General features: G+C 48.2%; 1 protein-coding gene across 3 annotated transcripts in view, besides 4 other annotated features; it reads right to left on the bottom strand.

Moving 5' to 3' along the window:
* Positions 1 to 15,242, bottom strand: part of FOXK2 (forkhead box K2) — an 84,871-nt gene extending 69,629 nt beyond the window's left edge. For all 3 annotated transcript variants that reach the window (NM_004514.4, XM_047435919.1, XM_047435920.1), the window contains exon 1: positions 14,667 to 15,242. In NM_004514.4, coding sequence (NP_004505.2) covers positions 14,667 to 15,085 — 419 coding nt within the window. In that variant the 5' untranslated portion in view covers positions 15,086 to 15,242. The remainder of the gene's footprint in view (positions 1 to 14,666) is intronic.
* Positions 287 to 581: a silencer, noted in NCBI's record as "tiled region #5709; K562 Repressive DNase matched - State 14:Gen5'". NCBI's record gives its function as "represses a minimal TATA promoter and a strong SV40 promoter by Sharpr-MPRA in K562 cells {active_cell/tissue: K562}" and the evidence as "EXISTENCE:reporter gene assay evidence [ECO:0000049][PMID:27701403]".
* Positions 14,403 to 14,452: a silencer, noted in NCBI's record as "silent region_9218". NCBI's record gives its function as "represses an Ori minimal core promoter by ATAC-STARR-seq in GM12878 lymphoblastoid cells {active_cell/tissue: GM12878}" and the evidence as "EXISTENCE:reporter gene assay evidence [ECO:0000049][PMID:35858748]".
* Positions 14,533 to 14,712: a silencer, noted in NCBI's record as "silent region_9217". NCBI's record gives its function as "represses an Ori minimal core promoter by ATAC-STARR-seq in GM12878 lymphoblastoid cells {active_cell/tissue: GM12878}" and the evidence as "EXISTENCE:reporter gene assay evidence [ECO:0000049][PMID:35858748]".
* Positions 15,163 to 15,822: a silencer, noted in NCBI's record as "silent region_9216". NCBI's record gives its function as "represses an Ori minimal core promoter by ATAC-STARR-seq in GM12878 lymphoblastoid cells {active_cell/tissue: GM12878}" and the evidence as "EXISTENCE:reporter gene assay evidence [ECO:0000049][PMID:35858748]".

Here is a 23,037-nt window from a genome sequence, read left to right as displayed (position 1 = left end):
TGGGAGGTGGAGGTTGCAGTGAGCCAAGATGGTGCCACTGCACTCCAGCTGGGCGACAGAGCAAGAACCTGCCCCCAAAAAATGTGTGTTTTTCAGCACTCAATAATTAACAGGTAGATTTGTGTCAACAAGAAAAGGCATAGCCTGAAAAACAACTTTTAAGAGAGAACAAGATAAAAGATCCATGGAAAATAAATATTACTTCTGGGGACATGTTTCAACGAGTTCGTTACCATCTGTAAGAGGAGACAGGAACAGGAGTGAGTGCTGAGGCACCCAGTCACTAAAGTCAAACCTGGATGGGCTGAAGTGTGTGGTGAGAAGGATCAGAGCTAGAGACCATCTCATGTGCGATAAGGATGTGCTCCAGTAGCGCAGTCCCAGGAGGGTCTCCTCCAGAGCTCTGCTAAAGTTCTCAGCAAGAAGGAGCCTGGCCCCTCCTCTAGCCTGAGGCATGACGACCTAGAGCCAGGTCTGTGCACATGCTCTGCAGGAGAAGCAGAAGAGCAGCACCCGGTGCAAAGACTCGGGAACAACAAGCCACCAACTTCATGGTCTGACTTGTTCCTATATTAGAGCCGCAACAACTATCAAGCAGTACGACAAGTCATGTGCCCTGACACACATTATTAGAACATTTTTATTCAATCACAAGAAATTTTGTCCATGTGCAGCCAGGCTTCCACAGGTTACCCCTCTACATATCAGCCATCTTTTCTTTTTTTTTCGAGTCGAGGTTTTGCTCTGCTGCCCAGACTTGAGTGCAATAGTGCAATCACAGTCCACAGCAGCCTCAACCTCCGAGGGTCAAGTGATCCTCCCACCTCGGCCTCCCAAGTAGCTAGGACTAGAGGCCCTTGCCACAACATCTGGCTATTTTTCTCTTTTTTTTTTTTTTTGAGACAGTGTCTTACTCAGTTGGGACTACAAGTGTGTGCCACCATGCCCGGCTATCTTATCTACCTATCGACCTGAGACAGGGTCTCCCCTTCTGTTGCCTGGGCTGGAGTGCACCGGTGTGATCTCGGCTCCCTATAGCCTCCACCTCTTGGGCCCAAGTGATCCTCCAACCTCAGTCTCACGAGTAGCTGGGATTACAGCTGCGCACCACCACACCCAGCTAACCTAGCTGTGCCAGGCCCAGCTAACCTACAGCTGTGCGTCACCACGCCCGGCTAACCTACAGCTGGGCACCACCATGCCCGGCTAACAAAATTCACGTCGTTTCAAGTCAATGATGGGCCGCATATATGAGGGTCCCGTTAAGATTATGATGGAGCTGAAAAATTCCTATTCCTAGCCATTGTGATGTCATAGTGCAATGAATTACTCATGAGTCTGGGGTGATGCTGGTGTCAACGAACCTACTACGCGAACAGCCGTATGAAAGTACAGCACATACGATCGCGTACAATATGTAATACTTAATAATAATAAATGACAGTTACTGGTTATGTATTCACTGCACTATACTTTTTTTTTTTGAGACAAAGTCTCACTCCATCACCCAGGCTGGAGTGCAGTGGCACGGTCTCGGCTCACTACAACCTCTGCCTCCTGGGTTCAAGCAATTCTCCTGCCTCAGCCTCCCGAGTAGCTGGGATTACAGGCGTGTGCTACCATGCCTGGCTAATTTTTTGCATTTTTAGTAGAGACAGGGTTTCACCATGTTGGCCAGGCTGGTCTCAAACTCCTGACCTCAGGTGATCCACCCGCCTGGCCTCCCAAAGTGCTGGGATTACAGGCGTGAGCCACCACGCCCGGCAGCACTATACATTTTATCGTTAATTTAGAGTATACTGCTTCTACTTATTTTTAAAAAGTTAACTATACAACAGCCCCAGGTAGGTCCTTCAGGAAGTATCCAGAAGAAGCCGTTATCACCGGAGGTGACAGCTCCATGCACGTTACTTCCCCTAAGAACTTTGGAGTGGAACAAGATGTGGAGGTAGAAGACAGTGATACTGCTGGTCCTGACCCTATGTAGGGCTAGGCTAGTGTGTGTTTCAGTCTTAGTTTTTAAACAAAAAAAGTTTAAAAAGAAAAAAATAATAATTTTACAAACAGAAAAAAGCTTATCAAATAAGAATACAAAAATATTTTTGTGGTCAGGCGCGGTGGCTCACACCTGTAATCCCAGCACTTTGGGAGGCCAAAGCAGGCAGATCACCTCAGGTCAGGAGTTCGAGACCAGCCTGGTCAACACGGCAAAACCCCATCTCTACTAAAAATACAAAAATTAGCCAGGTGAGGTGGCTACTCGGGAGGCTGAAGCAGGAGAATCACTCGAACCCGGGAGGCAGAGGTTGCAGTGAGCCACAATCACACCATTGCACTCCAGCTTGGGCCACACAGTGAGACGTAGTCTCAGAAAAAAACAACAAAAATATTTTTTTATGTCTGCACAATGTGTGTTTTAAACTAAGTATTAGTTTATAAAGTAAAAAAAAATTATAGTATGTTAAGACTAATAAATTATTTACAATTTTTTTCTTTTACCTGACAAGAAAACTCTTTTTAAATACATTTAGGCCAGGCGCAGTGGCTCACGCCTGTAATCCCAGCACTTTGGGAGGCCGAGGTGGGTGGATCACCTGAGGTCAGGAGTTCAAGACCAGCCTGGCCAACATGGTGAAACCCCGTCTCCACTAAAAATGCAAAAACTAGCTGGGCTGGTCTCGGGTGCTGGTAATCCCAGCTACTCGGAAAGCTGAGGCAGGAGAATTGCTTGAACCAAGGAGGCGGAGGCTGCAGTGAGCCGAGAACGCGCCATTGCACTGCAGCCTAGGCAACAAGAGCGAAACTCCATCTCAAAAAAATAAATAAGATGGGCACAGTGGCTCACGCCTATAATCCTAGCACTTAGGGAGGCCAAGGTAGGTGTTTACCTGAGCTCAGGAGTTCAAGACCAGCCTGGACAACATGGTGAAACCCCATCTCTACTAAAATAAAATAAAATAAAATAATTAGCCGGGCGTGGCGGCGTGAGCCTGTAATCCCAGCTACTCGGGAAGCTGAGGCAGGAGAACTGCTTGAACCTGGGAGGCAGACGTTGCAGTGAGCCAAGATCACGCCATTGCACTGCAGCCTGGGCGACAAAAGCGAAACTCCTTCTCAAATAAATAAAGTATAGCCTAAATGTCCAGTGTTTATGAAGTTGACAGCGGTGTACAGTCACGTCCTAGGCCTTCACATTCACTCACCATTTACTCACTGACTCACCCCGTCCTGCAAGCTCTGCTGACACTAAGTGCTCTAGAGAGCTGTACCTTTATCTTTTGTACCTTATTTTTACTGTGCCTTTTCTATGTTTTAATATGTTTAGATACACAAACACCATGTTACAGCATTCAATACAGTCACATGTTGCTTAAGTTTGTGCAGCATGTGGCTGTAGGCGCAACAGGATATACACACAGCCTGGGTGTGCAGCAGGCTGTGTCATCTAGGCTTGTACAAGTATGCTCTATGATGTTCGCACAACAATGAAATCACCTAACAATGCATTTCTCAGAATGATTTCCACAGTTAAGTGATGCATGACTGTACAAGGCCAAAAAAGTCACTTTGGGGAGTCTACCATCAACAAAAACAAAAAAAAGTGGGAGCAACTGTAGAATCAGAAGTGAATTTAATCTGACTTACATTTATAACTGTTTTACATGGTTTCCTATGGTACAGTAGTCACCCAATCCAAACTCAGAAGCCCACATCCAACCAATTCAGCAATAAACATTTGAGTCCTATCGAGTACCCAGAATTCCTGGAGGAGGTCACCCAGGGGTCAAAGGCTACAACCCCAGGAAGTGTACAATGTAAAGATGAATCAGCCCAGCCCACAGAACACTTACATGCAGTTCACTCAAGTGTACAGGATTTCAGCTGTGTTTAATCACGTGTGGACAAGTCCAGGGGGAAGCTTGGCAAAGTGGGAACAGGTCCTCAAGGAGGACCCAGAACAGACATTTTATATTTAAACCACATCTTCTTCCACCCAGCTCAAATGGCTATCAAAATGATGTTCATTATCCTAACATCCTCCAACAGCTCAGAAATGGCAAAAACACAGAATTTTTAAAACATTCTCTATATACTCAAAATGCTATCGTATTCTGAAAAATACAAGACCAAAAAAGCCACTTTGAAAACACAACAGTAGACCGGGCACAGTGACTCACACTTTGGCCTGTGATCCCAACACTTTGGGAGGCCAAGACAGGGGAATCACCTGCAGTCAGGAGTTTGAGACCAGCCTGGCCCACATGGTGAAACCCCGTCTCTACTAAAAATACAAAAATTAGCAGAGCGTGGTGGTGGCGCCTGTAATCCCAGCTACTCGGGAGACTGAGGCAGGAGAATTGTTTGAACCCGGGAGGAGGACGTTGCAGTGAGCTGAGATGGCGCCACTGCACTCCAGCCTGGGTGACAGAGCGAGACTCTGTCTCAAAAAAAAAAAAAAAAAACACATCAGTAGTTTTAAATTTCCTTATTTCGGGTTTTCTCTCTCTTTTTTTTTTTTTTTTTTTTTAGATGGAGTTTCACTCTTGTTGCCCAGGCTGGAGTTCAAGTGATTCTCCTGCCTTAGCCTCCCGAGTAGCTGGTATTAGAGGCATGCGCCACCACACCCAGCTAATTTTGTATTTTTAGTAGACACAGGGTTTCTCCATGTTGGTCAGGCTGGTCTCGAACTCCCGATCTCAGGAGATCCGCCTGCCTCAGCCACCCAAAGTGCTGGGATGACAGGCGTGACCCAACGTGCCCGGCCTATTTCAGGTTTTCTATATTCCATCTGTCCAAATGAAAGTCAAAAGATGAGTTTTCTTACTGCCAATTATTAATGACTAAACACCATTAAAAACAGCACCTTGAGAGCCATCTTTCCCAGCGTGGCTGTGCTAACAATGACGTCACATCATCAGTTCATTCTCCAGTGGAACCAGGAACACAAAAAACTGGAACAATTCAGCTACAGCTCATTGTCTTTTTTCCCACTAAAGATAAACGTTCTCAGAATATCTGTATCAATGTAACTAAGGTATTCCTAGTTCTCAGAATATCTGTATCAGCCTAATTAAGTCAATAAATACGACTAAGAGAACACATTACAAACGTAACAATGTTAGGCTACTACTGCCTTAAGGGACCTAGTTGTATCTTCTTACAACCAGGGATAGCAAGACAGAACTGCATTCCGAGAGTGTCCTTTCAAAGCTGCAAAGGGAGGAGTTATCTAGTGACTCCGCAATGAGTCTCAACCTCCAGGCTCTGTTTTACAAAAGGCACTTTCAGGTGGGGCGCCATGGCTCACGCCTGTAATCCCAGCACTTTGGGAGGCCGAGGCAAGCGGATCACCTGAGGTCAGGAGTCCGAGATCAGCCTGGCCAACATGGTGAAACCCTGTCTATTAAAAATACAAAAATTAGCTGGGAGTGGGCACGCGCCTGTAATCCCAGGTACTCAGGAGGCTAAGGCAGGAGAATCACTTGAACCTGGGAGGCGGAGGTTGCAGTGAGCCAAGATCGTGCCACTGCATTCCAGCCTGGACGACAGAGCAGAACTCCATCTTGAAAAAAAAAAAAAAAAAATTAGCCGGCGTGGTGGCACGTGCCTGTAATTCCAGCTACTCAGGAGGCTGAGGCAGGAGAATCGCTTGAACCCGGGAGGTGGACACTGCAATGAGCCAAGATCACACCACTGCACTTCAGCCTGGGAAACAGAGCAAGACCCTGTCTCAAAAAAAAAAAAAAAAAAAAAAGGCGCTTTCAAGTATAATTTGAACAGATGCTTTGGTAGCATAAAGGTTTTAAGCAGGAATCATCTGTAAAAAAAATTATTAAAACTTACCACCAGTAGGACCAAGAGTCATAACCAACTTTTATTATATTATCAGCTGCCAGGTTGCTACGCAACAGGCGGCTCTCCCCTCCTGCGTCCTGTGCGTTGTAAGATTTTTCAGTGGCATCCCTGGCCTCTGTCCACTAGATGCCAGTAGCACCCGTCCTCCCAGTCTATGCCAACCAAATGTGCCTCCAGACACTGTCATACGTCCCAGGGAGGGGAAGGAGGCAGACTCACCCCGGTGTCGTACTCCAATGCCCTTCACAGGACAAAGAACACAAGCATTCCATCTCAAATGACAAACTGCAGCAAAAACCAAATACTGTCTAGAAATCTACGGAATTCTCAGCAGAGCACCTTCTCTGTTCCTAACAAATCAGCAGAGGCGTTTGAAGCCCAATGTGCACTCTAAACTGACGTGCACGAGGAAAGCAGGGCCGCAGGGGCTGTGGCTCTGGCACGAGGTACTTTCTGGTCTCCCTGCCACCACTTCCTAGGTACAGCTGTAACACCTTGTTCCGTGCTCAAAGCCCGCTTCACATTGTAGAGATGGTAATGTGTGCCTTAAACATGCCCTCCTGTACTGCATTTTAGCAGCAAATTCAAAAATTCCTCATGAAAAAGTGTGGAGGTTGATTTACTATGACTGTCATTATTTAAGATATTATAAATTGCTCCAAAAACCAAACATAAAAGAAAACAAGAGCCCCACAAAAATGTTAAACAGATAAGAATACTACTACCCAAATGCCAACTGCTTTCACTAAAAGCTTCCTTAATTTAGAAATCCTCTTTTCTTCATTTTCCAAAAAAATCTTTCTCTTCAACAAAGCAGGAATAGTTACATTTTCACAATGGAAAAATCTGCTGTTACTGTAACAGCCTCATCTCCTGGAATATTTCCACCAATCATGCACAGAGCTGTGCTGTACTTCTGCAACCGCAGGTCTAAATGGGACCTGCCAGTAAATGGGGGAGCCACGCCTGACTACAATCACTTCACTATTAATAAATGATCAGCACTTGAAAACATGTATAGGCCAGGCAGGGTGGCTCGCACCTGTAATCCCAGCACTTTGGCAGACTGAGGTGGGGGGACTGCTTGAGGACAGGAATTTGCGACCAGCCTGGGCAACATAGCGAGACCCCACGTCCAAAAAAAAATAAATTAGCCCTGAATGGCCATGCAGGCCTGTACTCTCAGCTACACGGGAGACTGAGGTGGGAAGATCGCTTGAGTCCAGGAGTTCAAGGCTGCAGTGAGCTATGATGGTGCCACTGTACTCCAGCCTGGGTGACAGAGTGAGACTCTAAATAATAAAATAAAAGGAACACAGAGTTTTACCACTGGAAGAAGTACTAAACACTAAGGTGAGGCAGAAGTAAGTTGGTTACTGGGTTTTTAACTTAAAGTAACAATTATGCTAAAATAGCTGCAATGTGTTCTGTGTCTACAAATCAGTGATAACAATGTATCTCAATTTGCCAAATGAATATCTTCGGTTTTGAGACAAAGTCTTGCTATGTCACCCAGGCTGGAGTACAGTGGCGCCATCTCAGCTCACCACAACCTTCACCCTGTGGGTTCAAGTGATTATCCTGCCTCAGCCTCCTGAGTTGCTGGGATTACAGGCATCCGCCACCATGCCCAGTTAATTTTTGTATTTTTAGTAGAGTCGGAGTTTCGCCATGTTGGCCAGGCTGATCTCGAACTCCTGACCTCAGATGATCCACCTGTCTCGGCTTCCCAAAGTGCTGGGATTACAGGCAAGAGCCACCGGGCCCAGCCAAAATTTCTTTAAAAGCTATCTCTACCAAAAATACAAAAATTAGCCAGCATGGTGGTGCATGCCTGTAATCCCAGCTCCTCGGGAGGCTGAGGCAGGAGAATCGCTTGAACCCAGGAGGCGGAGCTTAAATACAGAGTAGTTATTAAAGGCAACTGATTTGTACACTGAACACTTTTCAAAGTGCAAAGCGCCATTTGCCCTCTGCTATGAACATCCCTTTATTTATGCCAACACATGCCAACTCCTGTGTCCCAGGCTCAGCTCCACTCACAAGCTTGTCAGGAGTTTCAGGTCGCAAAACGAAGGCATTTCAGCCACCTTGCAGCCCTTCAATACGGAAACACACCAGACTTTCCTAGTAGCTCCGTTCCGACCCGCTCTGCTCAGCTCTTCAAACAACACAATCTCGTTTTCTTTTCCACTGGGAGCTGTCCTCCTTCAGACATCGTCTGCTGTCTACTCGGCAAAGAGCTGACCAGGCCTCAACTCCATTTCTTTCTTTTTTTTTTTTTTTTGAGACGGAGTCTCGCTCTGTCGCCCAGGTTGGAGTGCAGTGGCGCGATCTCGGCTCACTGCAAGCTCCAATCTCCTGGGTTCATGCCATTCTCCTGCCTCAGCCTCCCAAGTAGCTGGGACTAGAGGTGCCCGCCACCATGCCCAGCTAATTTTTTGTATTTTTAGTAGAGATGAGGTTTCACCGTGTTAACCAGGATGGTCTCAATCTCCTGACCTCATGATCCACCTGCCTCGGCCTCCCAAAGTGCTGGGATCACAGGCGTGAGCCACCGCACCCAGCCTCAACTCCCATTTCTTGGTGGTTCCTTCAGCCACTTCACCTTAGTGATGAGGTTTCCGCTCCTCCTAACCCTAATCTCAACTCTGCTCTCCTTACAAGGTCCCCACTTTACATGCACTCCTTCTACCTCCACTCCTTCCTTATTCTCCAGCCCTATGTCCAGCCTCCTTCCTTATCCTGGAGACAACAGCCCTCTCAAAGGCTGCCCAAGACTTCCTGATTGCCAAGCCATGTCCCTTGGCCATCTCCTTCCCAGGACCCCCTCCTTCTTACTTCTTCTTTCTGGTACTGGGATTCTCCGGGAAGCTCAGTTCTGCCCATCTGCATTCTGAGTAGGACAGAATCACTGTGAGTTCCCTCAATTCATTTATTGGAGTCTCCACCTGGAAAGCTCCAGAAGCCACTGACTGTCGGCTCATCTCTCTCCAGTCTTCACCTTGGAAGATACTGTCTCTGATTTAATAAACAAGTCTTCAAATCTGACATTACCAAACACAATCTGCCACATAAGAAAGAAAGTGAGGGATTCATGCCACATAAAGTGAGGGATTCATGCCACATAAGAAAGTGTGGGATTCAGGCCACATAAGAAAGTAAGTGTGGGATTCATGCCACGTAAGAAAGAAAGTGTGGGATTCATGCCACGTAAGAAAGAAAGTGTGGGATTCAGGCCACGTAAGAAAGAAAGTGTGGAATTACCACTGGGTAGAACTGATAGAGTTCATTTGGCATAGGACAGGGGTCACTCTTCTAAATAAACAGAGTTTTAATTTAGCACGTTAAATAGTTGTAGGCAATAGTAAATTCAACTTGTTCTATTTATATTTGACTATTAGATATTCTGGGATCTTACTGATCAGAATGTGTCAAATTCATTTGACATTTTCAAAGTATAAACAACTGTTAAAGAGTTGCCTATTTTTATTCATAAATTATACTTAGTTTGTTACCATGGCAACAAAAATAGCAACAACAAACCCAAACTGTCCTGTCCAATTGATCTTCCTAAAAAACACTTTACTAATCATAGCCTCCAGACCAGGCCCTTGGACAAATAAGAACCTTGTCCTCGACCGGGCGCAGTAGCTCACGCCTGTAATCCCAGCACTTTGGGAGGCCGAGGTGGGCAGATGACCTGAGGTCAGGAGTTCTGACCAGCCTGACCAACATGGTGAAACCCCGTCTCTACTAAAAATGCAAAAAAAGTTAGCCAGGCATGGTGGCACGTACCTGTAGTCCCAGCTACTTGGGAGGCTGAGACAGAAGAATTGCTTGAACCCAGAACCCAGGAGGCGGAGGCTGCAGTGAGCTGAGACTGCGTCACTGCACTCCCACCTGGGCAACAAAGCAAGATTCCATCTCAAAAAATAGATTAATAGATAAATAAATAAAATACAAATACAAAAATTAGCCGGGCATGGTGGCGGGCATCTGTAATCCCAGCTACTCGGGAGGCTGAGCCAGGATAATCACTTGAACCCGGGAGGCGGAGGTTGCAGTGAGCCGAGATCGTGCCACTGTACCCCAGCCTGGGCGACAGACAGAGACCGATTTAAAAAAAAAAAAAAAGCCACCTTGTCCTCAAAGAGGGCATTTCAGTCTATCACTGGCAAAGTAAAAACACTCCCCACCAGACCCAGGCAGACCTCACACTCCAGCTGCTCCAAAGTCTCTTCCAGCCTGAATTGCAGGTTCTCCAGAGCCAGGCTACAGGGCCAGCCACACGTGGGAGGCAACCTCCACTGGCTCACTGCCAAGAGCCCTGCCAGGTGGGGCCCAGACACCCCCATGGAGCCCACCCTCCAGTCTCCCAGGAACACCTGCGCCTCAGGTCAGTCAGAGGCTCTAAGAGAGGAAAACGCTGCCTTTCCTTACACACAGCCCTGCATCCTGTGTATCCAAAAATCAAGGACTTGAAGAAGCCATTTGTTTTCCAGAAAACCACACACCCTGACAATCTTTGTACACACTGAGCCCCCACCAATCACACTGGGCTCGAGGCTCCCCAGCCACTGTGGAAACAGTACTTGGATCCACATCTTAGTCAAATTATTAAAATACAGCAGACAAGGACAGGATCATAGTCCTCATCTTTCTCTCTTCCCCCACATTAATACATTATTATTTCAATGAAATGAGCCAAATTTTAAACCTAAACTACTTATGTACTCTTGCAAATTTTCTGATAATTTTTAATATAAATTCAAAACATAAATTCATTTTGAAGTTGGAATTTGAATAAAATCATTGTGGTTCAAATAAGAGACCAACGACGGGTTGTTACATTATTTTCTAACTCTACAGTGATGTTAAATTTAGTAGACAAATCTGAAATAAGCATTAATAATATTTCAGCCTTAGGACAGGCGCAGTGGCTCACACCTATAATCCCAGCACTTTGGGAAGCGGAGGCGGGACGGATCACCTGAGTTCAGGAGTTTGAGACCAGCCTGGCCAACATGGTGAAACTCTGTTGCTACAAAAAACACAAAGCCAGGCCTGGTGGTGGGCTCCTTAATCCCAGCTACTGGGGAGTCTGAGGCAGGAGAATGGCTTGAATCCAAGAGGCCAAGGTTGCAGTGAGCCAAGATCACGCCACTGCACTCCAGCCTGGACAACAGAGTGAGACTCGTAATAATACTTTGGCCTTTACATAATTACTCTAAGTTACGTGTGCTTTCAAGCTTATACATTTAATTTGATTTTTAAACTTAAAAAGAACTTGTATCATCAACCTGAACACTGAGCTTAAATTCAGAAAAAAAGATTTTAGGGCCAGGTGTGGTGGCTCACACCTGTAATCCCAGCACTTTGGGAGGCGGAGGTGAGCAGATCACCTGAGGTCAGGAGTTCAAGACCAGCCTGACCAACATGGATTAACCCTGTCTCTACTAAAAATACAAAATTAACTGGGTGCGGTGGTGTAGTGCACACCTGTAATCCCAGGTACTCGGGAGGCTGAAGCAGGAGAATCGCTTGAGCCCAGGAAGCGGAGGTTGCAATGAGCCGAGATCATACCATTGCACTCCAGCCTAGGCAACAAGAGCGAAAAACTCTGTCTTAAAAAAAAAAAAAAAAGATTTTAAACAATTTATCTGCATTTCACTGGTACCAATTCTTTATGATTTATTCCATTAACCTGTGTTACTGCCCTACACCACAAATTTGGAAATGATACCTTACAAAAAAGGAAGTGCTGAAATATCCTCTAGGTTAATAATTTAATTCACACCGCACAAATGCTAAACTCCCCTCTGTGAAAAAAGCCACTCATCCCCTTGTGTACTCAGTACGGGTAGAGAGTCCCAGGCCCATGAGAAGTCCAGGATACATGTTCACCTCGGTGGCCACAAGACTCTTCCCTGAGCACAAGTGGGAGGCCCAGCCTCCATCTCACTGCCCTTCTTACTCATCTCTACTGCAAGACTCATTCCTACTGTTCAAAAGGTCTGAATTCGGCCAGGCGTGGTGGCTCACAGCTGTAATCCCAGCACTTTGGGAGGCCAAGGCGGGTGGATCACGAGGTCAGGAGATCAAGACCATCCTGGCCAACATGGTAAAACCCCATCTCTACTAAAAATACAAAAATTAGCTGGGTGTGGTGGCGTGTGCCTGTAATCCCAGCTACTCAGGAGGCTGAGGCACAAGAATTGCTTGAACCAGGGAGGCGGAGGTTGCAGCAAGCCAAGATCACGCCATTGTACTCCAGCCTGGCAACAGAGCGAGACTCCGTCTCAAAAAAATAAGGTCTGAATTCTGGCCCTCACTGAAAGGTCAACTTATCTCCATGTTTATCATGTTAGCATGTGCAGAATTCAATTCAATACAAATCGTTCTGGCTGAATGGTGAGGAGAATTTTCTTTAAAAACTCAAAATCGGGCCAGGCACAGTGGCTCATGCCTGTAATCGCAGCACTTTGGGAGGCCGAGGCGGGCAGATCATGAGGTCAGGAGATCGAGACCATCCTGGCTAGCATGGTGAAACCCCGTCTCTACTAAAAATACAAAAAAAAATTAGCTGGGCGTAGTGGCGGGTGCCTGTAGTCTCAGCTACTCGGGAGGCTGAGGCAGGAGAATGATGTGAACCCGGGAGGCATAGCTTGCAGTGAGCCGAGATTGCGCCACTGCACTCCAGCCTGGGGGACAGAGCAAGGCTCCGTCTCAGGAAAAAAAAAAAAAAATTCCAAAAAACTCAAAATCTTGGCCAGGTATGTGGGAGGAGTGGTGAGATCATAGCTCACACCTGTAATCCCAGCCTGGAATGCAGTGGTGCAATCATAGCTCACAGCAACTTCAAACTCCTGAGCACTGGGGCAGGAGGATCGCTTGTGCCCAGAAGTTTGAGGCTGCAGTGAGCTGTCATCATACCAGTACACTCCAGGCTAGGTCACAGAGACCGTGTCTCAAAATCAAAAACAAACAAACAAAAACTCAAGATCCTCACAGTAGACGCAAACTTCCTTTGTTGTGACACAGTATTTTGTAAAAAAAAAAAAAAAAAAAAAAAAGTCAGATTAAAGGGTAGCCATTAGGACCCTACCATTGATTTCATACCGTCTACAGTATAAACACACATAAATAGCATTTTCATTTGAAAATTTCTTTTTTTTTTTTGAGGCGGAGTCTTCCTCTGTCCCCCAGGCTGGAGTGCAGTGGTGCGATCTCGCTGGCTGCAAGCTCCACCTCCAGGGTTCACATTCTCCTGCCTCAGCCTCCTGAGTAGCTGGGACTACAGGCGCCCGCCACCGCGCCCGGCTAATTTTTTTTTTTTTTTTGTATTTTTAGTAGAGACGGGTTTCACCGTGTTAGCCAGAATGGTCTCGACCTCCTGACCTCGTGATCCACCCGCCTCGGCCTCCCAAAGTGCTGGGATTACAGGCGTGAGCCACCGCGCCCGGCCTGAAAATAACATTCTTTAAAATGCTACTACCAAAGTTTAAGGAATATGCTGGTGCACCTTTCCATGCTAAGAAACAGAACAGCGCATGCACACACACACAACACGCAAGTCAAGAAGAAAAGCAACAGCTCTTACCAGCATCTCCAACAACCGAAAGCGTTAAAAATTCCAATTTGTAGGCCGGGCGCGGTGGCTCACGCCTGTAATCCCAGCACTTTGGGAGGCCGAGGCGGGTGGATCACGAGGTCAGGAGTTCAATACCAGCCTGGCCAAGATGGTGAAACCCCGTCTCTACTAAAAATACAAAAAATTAGCCGGGCGCGGTGGCAGGCGCCTGTAATCCCAGCTACTCGGGAGGCTGGGGCAGGAGAACCACTTGAACTCAAAGGGCGGAGATTGCAGTGAGCCAAGATCGCGCCACTACACTCCAGCCTGAGCGACAAAGTGAGCCTCCGTCTCAAAAAACAAAAAACAAAAAAATTCCAGTTTGTGTGGACAAAGGCTGTACTTGCAATGATCTAGAAGTGAGCCCCTGAGGAATAATTAGCATTTCCTAGACAGCAAGTTTGTGTTTCAAGCAGAGTAAACGATAACTTCATAAAACCACAGGACCAAGCTAAATTGTTTTGTAGCAGGATAGGCAGTTCCCTATCAGGCTGACTTAACACTCTACATGACCTTGTAATAATTCCTAATCAACTGTCTTTTTGTAGAAGTTATGCGAAAAGCATCTAGTTTTCCCTAAATTTTAAGGTTCAGAGCACAGATTGAAAATCCATCATGCTTGAAGCGTCTTCCAATTTGGCCTACTGAAAACACGGCAGGGAAAAAGGAGTCCTTCCTGCTTAAAACACCGCACTCTTGAAACAGCTCACTACTGAAAACGACTGAACAACAACAACAACAAAAGACAACAGACAACCCTTCATCGGTTAAGAGACATAGATTTTAGTTCGGGGCAGTTCCTCCCACCGCACACCGTTTTCACATTTCTGTTCAGCGCGACCTCGCTGCAGAATAGAAACAGCACACGTGAACTCCCCGCACGCACAGAACCCAGAAACCTTGACCCGCGCGCGCAGCCGCCCGCAGCCCCGGCTCCAGGAAGGGGGAAAGACGGGGGGCTGCACCTGCCAGGAAGGGGACCGGGAGGACGGGGGTCGGGGCCAGGGGCTGTCGAGGGTTGGGATCCAGCCGGGGCCTGGGTCCCGCTGGTGGTCCCGGCTGTGGGAGAGTCGGGCCCCCGCTCGTGGGTGGTCCCGGGCCTGGGCGCGTGTCCCGTCCCGTCCTGCCAGGCGCTGCAGGCCGCAGACCCCGCCCGCCCCGCCCCGAGGCCACTCACACGCGCGGCAGCTGCAGCGGCGGCGCCCCGCGCCTCTGGAACACGCCGTCCACGAATACCCCGTTCTTGCCCAAGCAGCGCAGGTAGAAGTCGCCGCCGGCGTCGGGCCTGGGCTGCGCGGGCGGCAGCTCCGGAGCGGCCCCGCCATGGCCGCCGCCGCCCGGGGGCGTGAAGATCTCGAGGTGGCGCCGGGAGATGAAGCTCGAGTGGCCCATGCTCACGTCCACCGAGCCCTGCGACGAGTTGCGGCCGATGGTCACCGAGCGCTTCTTCATCAGATACTCGAACTCGCGGCCCTCCAGGCGCGCCACGGCCCAGCCGCCCGGCGGGGACCCGCCGCCCCCGGCCCCGCCGCCCCCGGCCCCGCCGCCCGCGGGTGGCGTGCCCGCGCCCGAGAGCGCCGCCGCGGCCGCCGCCATGGGCCTGCGTGAGGGCCCCCGGGCCGCTCCGCGCGGGCGCCGGTGGCGCGGGCCGAGGCCCAGGCCGCGCGGGTCGTCGGCCGCCGCGCACCGGAGCTGAGGGAGGGGGCCGAGCGGAGGCCGCCGGCCGGCGAGCGAGCGAGCGGCGGCGAGGGGCGGGAGCACGCGCGGCCGCGCCACCGAGCCGGCACGCCGGGCCCGCCCCTCGCTGACGGACGGTTACGCCGGCCAATGGGGGCGGCGTACGGCAGTGGGGCTACCGAAGCAGGCCAATGGCAAGACACGTCGCACCAAGCTGCCGGCACGTCCGGCGGCGACGCCCGACGCAGTCCCGACTCCGGGCGCCGCGGAAAACCCGGGGCGGACAGTCGGCAGCCCGCGCGGGATCGGGGCTGGCGCGGGGTTGGCGCGGGCGCGGGAGCTCGGGGGTCTGAGCCCGGCCTGGCAGCGCCTTAGGCGCGGCGGGCGGGACCAGGCCCAAGGTCACAGCGGGCGCCAGGCACGCAGCGGCCCCCAACCCGGCGTGGACGCCGGGGTGCGGATAGGCGGCGGCCCGCGAGCCCAGGCCCGGCCGCCGAGCGGCCTTTTCCCCGCGAGGTGCGGGAATATCGCGGAGGGGCCGCGTGCCGCGTGGCCTCAGACCCAGGGGACCCGGTGACACGTTCGTTTTTAACCAGCAGCTCCAGGACTGGATGTCGTTATCTTTCCTGGCTAGCGAGTCATGTCATTGTGTCAAAACTGTCCTGCAAAATACGCAGAAGTTCTGAATCACATTTACTTAACTGTCGTCAGCACACAGTTTAAAAATATACACGAGGCCGGGCGCGGTGGCTCACGCCTGTAAGCCCAGCACTTTGGGAGGCCGAGGCGAGCGGATCACCTGAGGTCAGGAGTTCGAGACCAGCCTAGCCAACATGGTGAAATCCCAGCTCTACTAAAAATACAAAAAAAAAAAAAAAAATAGCCGGGTGTGGTGGTGCACACCTGTAGTCCTAGCTACTCAGGAGGCTGAGGCAGGAGAATTGCTTAAACCTGGGAGGCGGAGGCAGGAGAATTGCTTCAACCTGGGAGGTGGAGGTTGCAGTAAGCCGAGATCGCGTCACTGCACTTCAGTCTGGGCAACAAGAGTGAAACTACGTCTCATATGTATATATATGAACTATATATATGTGAACTATATATATATATATGAACTATATATATATGAACTATATATATATGAACTATATATATGAACTATATACATATATGAACTATATATATATGAACTATATATATATGAACTCTCATGAACGAATAGTTAATATCTTAACCAATCTGATACTAAGTTTTTAAAAAAAGAATTTCGCCACCGTTTAAAAAATTACAAGATCCCATCTAAATCAAGATGATCAATAGTCCAGATGTTCACTAATCAATGAAACTCCTAACATTAAAAAGAAAAAATCCTGTGGCCGGGCGCGGTGGCTCACACCTGTAATCCCAGTGCTTTGGGAAGCCGAGGCGGGTGGATCACAAGGTCAGGAGTTCAAGACCAGCCTGCCCAACATAGTAAAAGCCCGTCTCTACTAAAAATACAAAAATTAGCCAGGCATGGTGGGGCGTGCCTGCAGTCCCAGCTACTTGGGAGGCTGAGGCAGTAGAATCGCTCGAACCTGGGAGGCGGAGGTTGTGGTGAGCAGACATCACGCCACTGCCCTCCAGCCTGGGTGACAGAGGAGACTCCGTCTCAAAAAAAAAAAAAAAAAAAAAAATTGGGAAAAGAAAGAAAAAATCCTGTAAATGTATCTCACGGGTACTTAACCAGTTGTGGAGACGTTCAAGGTTCAGGATCATGAAAAGTCTACAACCTCTTAAACAGGAAGAATTCCGTGGGAAGTCAGTGTCAGCCCTAGAAACCATGGCTTGGGCTCCAAGCGCGCATCTTCGCAAAACTGAAATAGCAACAAATGGTACCAATTTAGTCTCTGCTGGGGAGGGACTGCCCCCTGAATTGTCTCACTTCTTTCAGCATGGTGGTTCCTGCAGGGTGTGTGAGGAGAAGATCCTATTATAGCCTATATATACAGGTTATAGCAAACACCCCAGGGTTCCTCTATTTGCTGCTTGTTAAATAGCAAAGAACAATTAGAAGAGAGAAATGATATAATTTAGGTACAGAGGCCTGGCACGGTGGCTCATGACTGAATCCCAACACTTTGGGAGGCCGAGGTGGGTGGATCACTTGAGGTTAGAAGTTGGAGACCAGCCTGGCCAACATGGTGAATCCACATATCTACTAAAAATACAAATATTAGCTGGGTGTGGTGGCACGTGCCTATAATCCCAGCTACTTGAGAGGCTGAGGCAGGAGAATCGCTTAAACGCGGGAGGCGGAAATTGCAGTAAGCAAGCGGAGATTGCACCACTGCATTCCAGCCTGGGTGACAAAGCCAGACTCTGTCTCGAAAATAATCATCATCATCATAATGTAGGTACAAAAGGAGTTTAGTGTGAGTAGAAAGACTTGAGACTGGACTTAAACGGAGCAGGATAAAGTGGAGATCCTGAACAGGAACCACCAACTGGGGGCCCCAGGCAGGAGACATCAGGGTCAGTTCATGCATTTTTATTCCTTCAATGTGTAAAAACTTTTTCTAAAAGAAATGGAAATTAATGTGTCCCTCTGAATGTAACATTTACATGTCTTTTTTTTTTTTTTTTTTTTTTTTGAGTGGAGTTTTGCCCTTGTTGCCCAGGCTGGAGTGCAATGGTGCGATCTTGGCTCACTGCAACCTCCACCTCCCAGGTTCAAGTGATTCTCCTGCCTCAGCCTCCCAAGTAGCTGGGATTACAGGTGCTCACCACCACGCCTGGCTAATTTTGTATTTTTAGTAGACGAGGTTTCACCCTGTTGGCCAGGATTGTCTCGATCTATTGACCTCGTGATCCACTTGCCTGGGCCTCCCAAAGTGCTGGGATTACAGGCGTGAGCCACCATGCCCGACCTACATTTACATGTCTTAATTGCCATATATGTGTTTGTAATTATAGTACAAATTCCTACAGGTGCAAAGTGTTCTGGCAGGATTTCCTAGACAGAAAAAATTGTTTCATTAAATATTCACTTATATATTAGAGGAATTTTTTTTTCTTTTCCTTTTTTTTTTTTTTTTGAGACAGTCTCACCCTGTTGCCCAGGCTGGAGTGCGGTGGCCCAATCTCTACTCACTGTAACCTCCGCCTCCTGGGTTCAAGCGATTCTCCTGCCTCAGCCTCCCGAGTAGCTGGGATTACAGGCGTGTGCCACCACACCCAGCTAATTTTTATATTTTTAGTAGAGACGGGTTTTCACCATATTGGCCAGGCTGGTCTCGAACTCCTGACCTCCAGTGATCCGCCCGCCTTGGCCTCCCAAAGTGCCAGGATTACAGGTGTAAGCCACCGTGCCCGGCCATATTAGAGGGATTTTAGGGGACATTGAGATGACTATGGAAATGATAAATAGGAAGTGTATCATTTAACCAAAAAAAAAAAAAAAAAACAGGCCGGGTGTGGTGGCTCACACATGTAATCTCAGCACTTTTGGGAGGCCGAGGCAGGCGGATCACTAAAGGTCAGGAATTCAAGACCAGCCTGCCCAACATGGTGAAACCCTGTCTCTACTAAAAATACAAAAAATCAGCTGGGCGTGGTGGCGCATGCTTGTAATCCCAGCTACTCAGGAGGCTGAGGCAGGAGAATTGCTTTAACTAGGAGGCGGTGGTTGCGGTGAGCCAAGATCGTGCCACCGCACTCCAGCCTGGGTGACAGAGTGAGACTTTGTCTCAAAAAAAAAAGAAAAGAAAAAAAGAACAACAAAAAAAGATGGGCAGGCCAGGCATGGTGGCTCACACCTGTAATCCCAGCACTGTGGGAGGCCCAGGTGGGCAGATCACAAGGTCAATAGATGGAGACCATCCTGGCCAATATGGTGAAACCCCATCTCCACTAAAAATACAAAAATTGGCCGGGCACAGTGGTTCACGCCTGTAATCCCAGCACTTTGGGAGGCCGAGGCGGGCGGATCATGAGGTCAGGAGATCGAGGTCATCCTGGCTAACACGGTGAAACCTTGTCTCTTTTAAAAATACAAAAAATTAGCCGGGTGTGGTGGCAGGTGCCTGTAGTCCCAGCTACTTGGGAGGCTGAGGCAGGAGAATGGCGTGAACCTGGGAGGCGGAGCTTGCAGTGAGCTGAGATCTCACCACTGCACTCCAGCCTGGGCAACAAAGCAAGACTCTGTCTCAAACAAGAACAAAAACAAAAACAAAAATTAGGGCCAGGTGCAGTGGCTCACGCCTATAATTCCAGCACTTTGGGAGGCCGAGGCAGGCAGATCACCTGAGGTTGGGAGTTCAAGACCAGCCTGACCAACACAGAGAAACCCTGTCTGTACTAAAAATATACCGGGCGTGGTGGTGGGATTACAGGTGTGTGCACCACTATGCCCAGCTAATTTTTGAATTTTTTCAGAGATGGGGTTTTGCAATATTGCCCATGCTGGTGTCGAAGTCCTGAGCTCCGGCGATCCATCCGCCTCAGCCTCCTCAAGCGCTGGGATTACAGGGGTGAGCCACCGTGCCCAGCCTGTAAATTTTTATTAAGACCAAAAAATTGAATTACATTGGAGACATATCTTTTAATAACATGTCTGGAGCTTTTCCCCGCTGACAATTCACTCATGTATCCACTGATGAAAAGTGCTTATTGCTATAATGAGGCAGGTGTATATAAATATTATCCCTGTTATTTCATTAATGTATACATAGAAATAAATAGAACGAGAGGAAGTTTTATTACAACAACCTAACTCTGATTTTTGAACCTCTTTTGATTGCTGCTGTTACAAGGGAGTTGAAAAGCGATCGCAGAGGACACAGGACTGGGATACACGGCAGCAAAGGTAAAGCATCTTGGTCCAACCTGGGCACTCAGTTGAGACCCCAGAAAGGGAACACCTTAGGAGTAAGGGCTTTAGGATTAGGGGGTGTGTAAACTTTACTAGTGTTAAGTTCACCAGTATAAAGAAAAAGCTAAAATATATGAAATGGAGAATTTATCGAATTATCTAAACACCAAACTGGAAACAGCTGAAGACAAGATTTTTCATCTCAAAGTTACATCGGTTGAAATAATCTGAATCAAAATTCCAAGATAAAAAGAAAGAAGGAAAATGAGAAAAAAAGAAAACAGAAATGAATATTAGAGACCTGTGGGACAAGATCAAATGGTTGAATAAATGTGAAATTTGACTGCCAAGAAGTAGGGAGAAAGAAAATAGAGCAGAGGAAATATTTAAAGAGATAATATGTAAGAAGTTTATACATTGGTGAAAATATACCAACCCACAGATCCAAACAGCTCAGCAAACTCCCAAAAAGATACAGTCAAAGAAAAATACATAAAAGCATATCATAGTCCAACTGCTGAAAACCAACGATAATGAGAAAAGTCCTAAAAAGAGGCAGACTTTAAAAGGTACATTACATTCGGCCGGGCGCGGTGGCTCACGCCTATAATCCCAGCACTTTGGGAGGCCGAGGCGGGTGGATCACCTGAGGTCAGGAGTTCAAGACCAGCCTGACCAACATGGAAAAACCCTGTCTCTACTAAAAATACAAAATTAGCCGGGCCTGGTGGTGCATGCCTGTAATCCCAGCTATTTGGGAGGCTGAGACAGGAGAATCGCTTGAACCTGGGAGGCAGAGGTTGCAGTGAGCCGAGATCGCACCATTGCACTCCAGTCTGGTCAAAAAGAGGGAAACTCCGTCTGAAAAAAAAAAAGGTACAATACATTCATGGAGGCATCAATAAGAATGACAGCTGACTTCTCATCGAAAGCCATGGAAGCCAGAAAACAAAGAACTGACATCCGTAAAATGCTAAGAGTAAAACAAAGTCATTGAGATCAGAATTGAATATCTAACAAAAATGTTCTTCAAAAATTGGCTGGGCATGGCTGGGCGCGCCTGGGATTACGCCTGTAATCCCAGCACTTTGGGAGGCCAAGGCGGGTGGATCATGAGGTCAGGAGATAGAGGCCATCCTGGCTAACATGGTGAAACCCCGTCTCTACTAAAAACACACAAAAAAATTAGCCGGGCGTAGTGGTGGGTGCCTGTAGTCCCAGCTACTCGGGAGGCTGAGGCAGGAGAATGGTGTGAACCCAGGAGGCAGAGCTTGCAGTGAGCCGAGATCGCACCACTGAACTCCAGCCTGGGCAACAGTGCAAAACTCCATCTCAAAAATAAAAATAAAAAAAATTGGCTAGGCGCAGTGGCCTTTAATCCCAGCACTTTGGGAGGCCGAGGTGGGTGGATCACCTGAGGTCAAGAGTTCGAGACCAGCTTGCCCAACATGGTGAAACTCCATCTCTACTAAAAATACAAAAATTAGCCAGGCGTGGTGGTGCACACCTGTAACCCCAGCTATTTGGGAAGCTGAGGCAGGAGAATCACTTGAACCTGGGAGGCGGAGGTTGCAGTGAGCAGAGATTGTGCCACTGCACTCTAGTCTGGGCGACAAGAGCAAAACTCTGCCTCAAAAAAAATAAAAATTAAGGAAAGGTGGCCAGGTGCAGTGGCTCACTCCTGTAATCCTAGCACTTTGGGAGGCTGAGGTGAGAGGATCACCTAAGCTCAGGAGTTGAAGACCAGCCTGGGCAACATAGTGAGACCTCGTCTCTATTAAAAAGAAAAAAGAAAAAATTAAGGAACGGTAATGAAAGAAATTTTCAGATCAACAAAAGCTGAAAATTATCACCAGAAGATTCAGCCTTCAAAAAAATACTAACAGAAATTATTATATAATTTATTCCTTTTTTTGTTTTTTAATTTATTTTTTATCATGGAGTCTCGCTCTTGTCGCCCAGGCTGGAGTGCAATGGCATGATCTCGACTCACTGCAACCTCCGCCTCCCAGGTTCAAGCGATTCTCCTGCCTCAGCCTCCTGAGTAGCTGGGATTACAGGCACCTGCCACCACGCCTGGCTAATTTTTGTGTTTTTAGTAGAGACAGGGTTTCACCATGTTGGTCAGGCTGGTCTCAAACTCCTGACCTCGTGATCTGCCCGCCTCGGCCTCCCAAAGTGCTGGGAGTACAGGCATGAGCCACCGCACCCAGCCCTTTTATTTTTTTTTTGAGACAAGAGTCTCGCTCTGTTGCCCAGGCTGGAGTGCAGTGGCTCACTCGGCTGACTGCAAGCTCTGCCTCCTGGGTTCACGCCATTCTCCTGCGTCAGCCTCCCGTAGCTGGGACTACAGGCGCCTGCCACCACGCCCAGCTAATTTTTTTTTTGTATTTTTAGTAGAGACGGGGTTTCACCATGTTAGCCAGGATGGTCTCAATATCCTGACCTCGTGATCCGCTCGCCTCGGCCTCCCAAAGTGCTGGGATTACAGACGTGAGCCACTACACCTGGCCTATTTTTTATTTTTTATAGGGACGAGGTCTCACTATGTTGCCCAAGCTGGTCTAGAGTGATCCTTCCACCTTAGCCTCCCAAAGTGCTGGGATTACAGGCATGAGCCACCACGGCCAGCCAACAAACAGAAATGCTTCAGACCAGAGGAAAATGATCTCCAGTGGAATCCCAGTGCTGCACCAAGAAATAAAGAACGCCTGGGAAAGTGGCTATGTGGGTAACTATAAAAGAGTTTTGCTGTTGTTGTTGTTTTTGAGATGGAGTCTCGCTCTGTTGCCAGGCTGGAGTGCAGTGGTGCGATCTCAGTTCACTGCAACCTCTGCCTCCCGAGTTCAAGCAATTCTCCTGCCTCAGCCTCCCAAGTAGCTGGGACTACAGTTGCACGCCACCGTGCCTAGGTAATTTTTGTATTTTTAGTAGAGACGTGGTTTCACCATGTTGGCCAGGATGGTCTGGATCTCTTGACCTTGTGATCTGCCCACCTTGGCCTCCCAAAGTGCTGGGATTA

The sequence above is a fragment of the Homo sapiens genome, chromosome 17, assembly GCF_000001405.40.
Source record: "Homo sapiens chromosome 17, GRCh38.p14 Primary Assembly".
NCBI classification, from domain to species: domain Eukaryota; kingdom Metazoa; phylum Chordata; class Mammalia; order Primates; family Hominidae; genus Homo; species Homo sapiens.
Note: the sequence above shows the minus strand (reverse complement) of the source record. Positions and strands in the feature narration are given on the sequence as shown.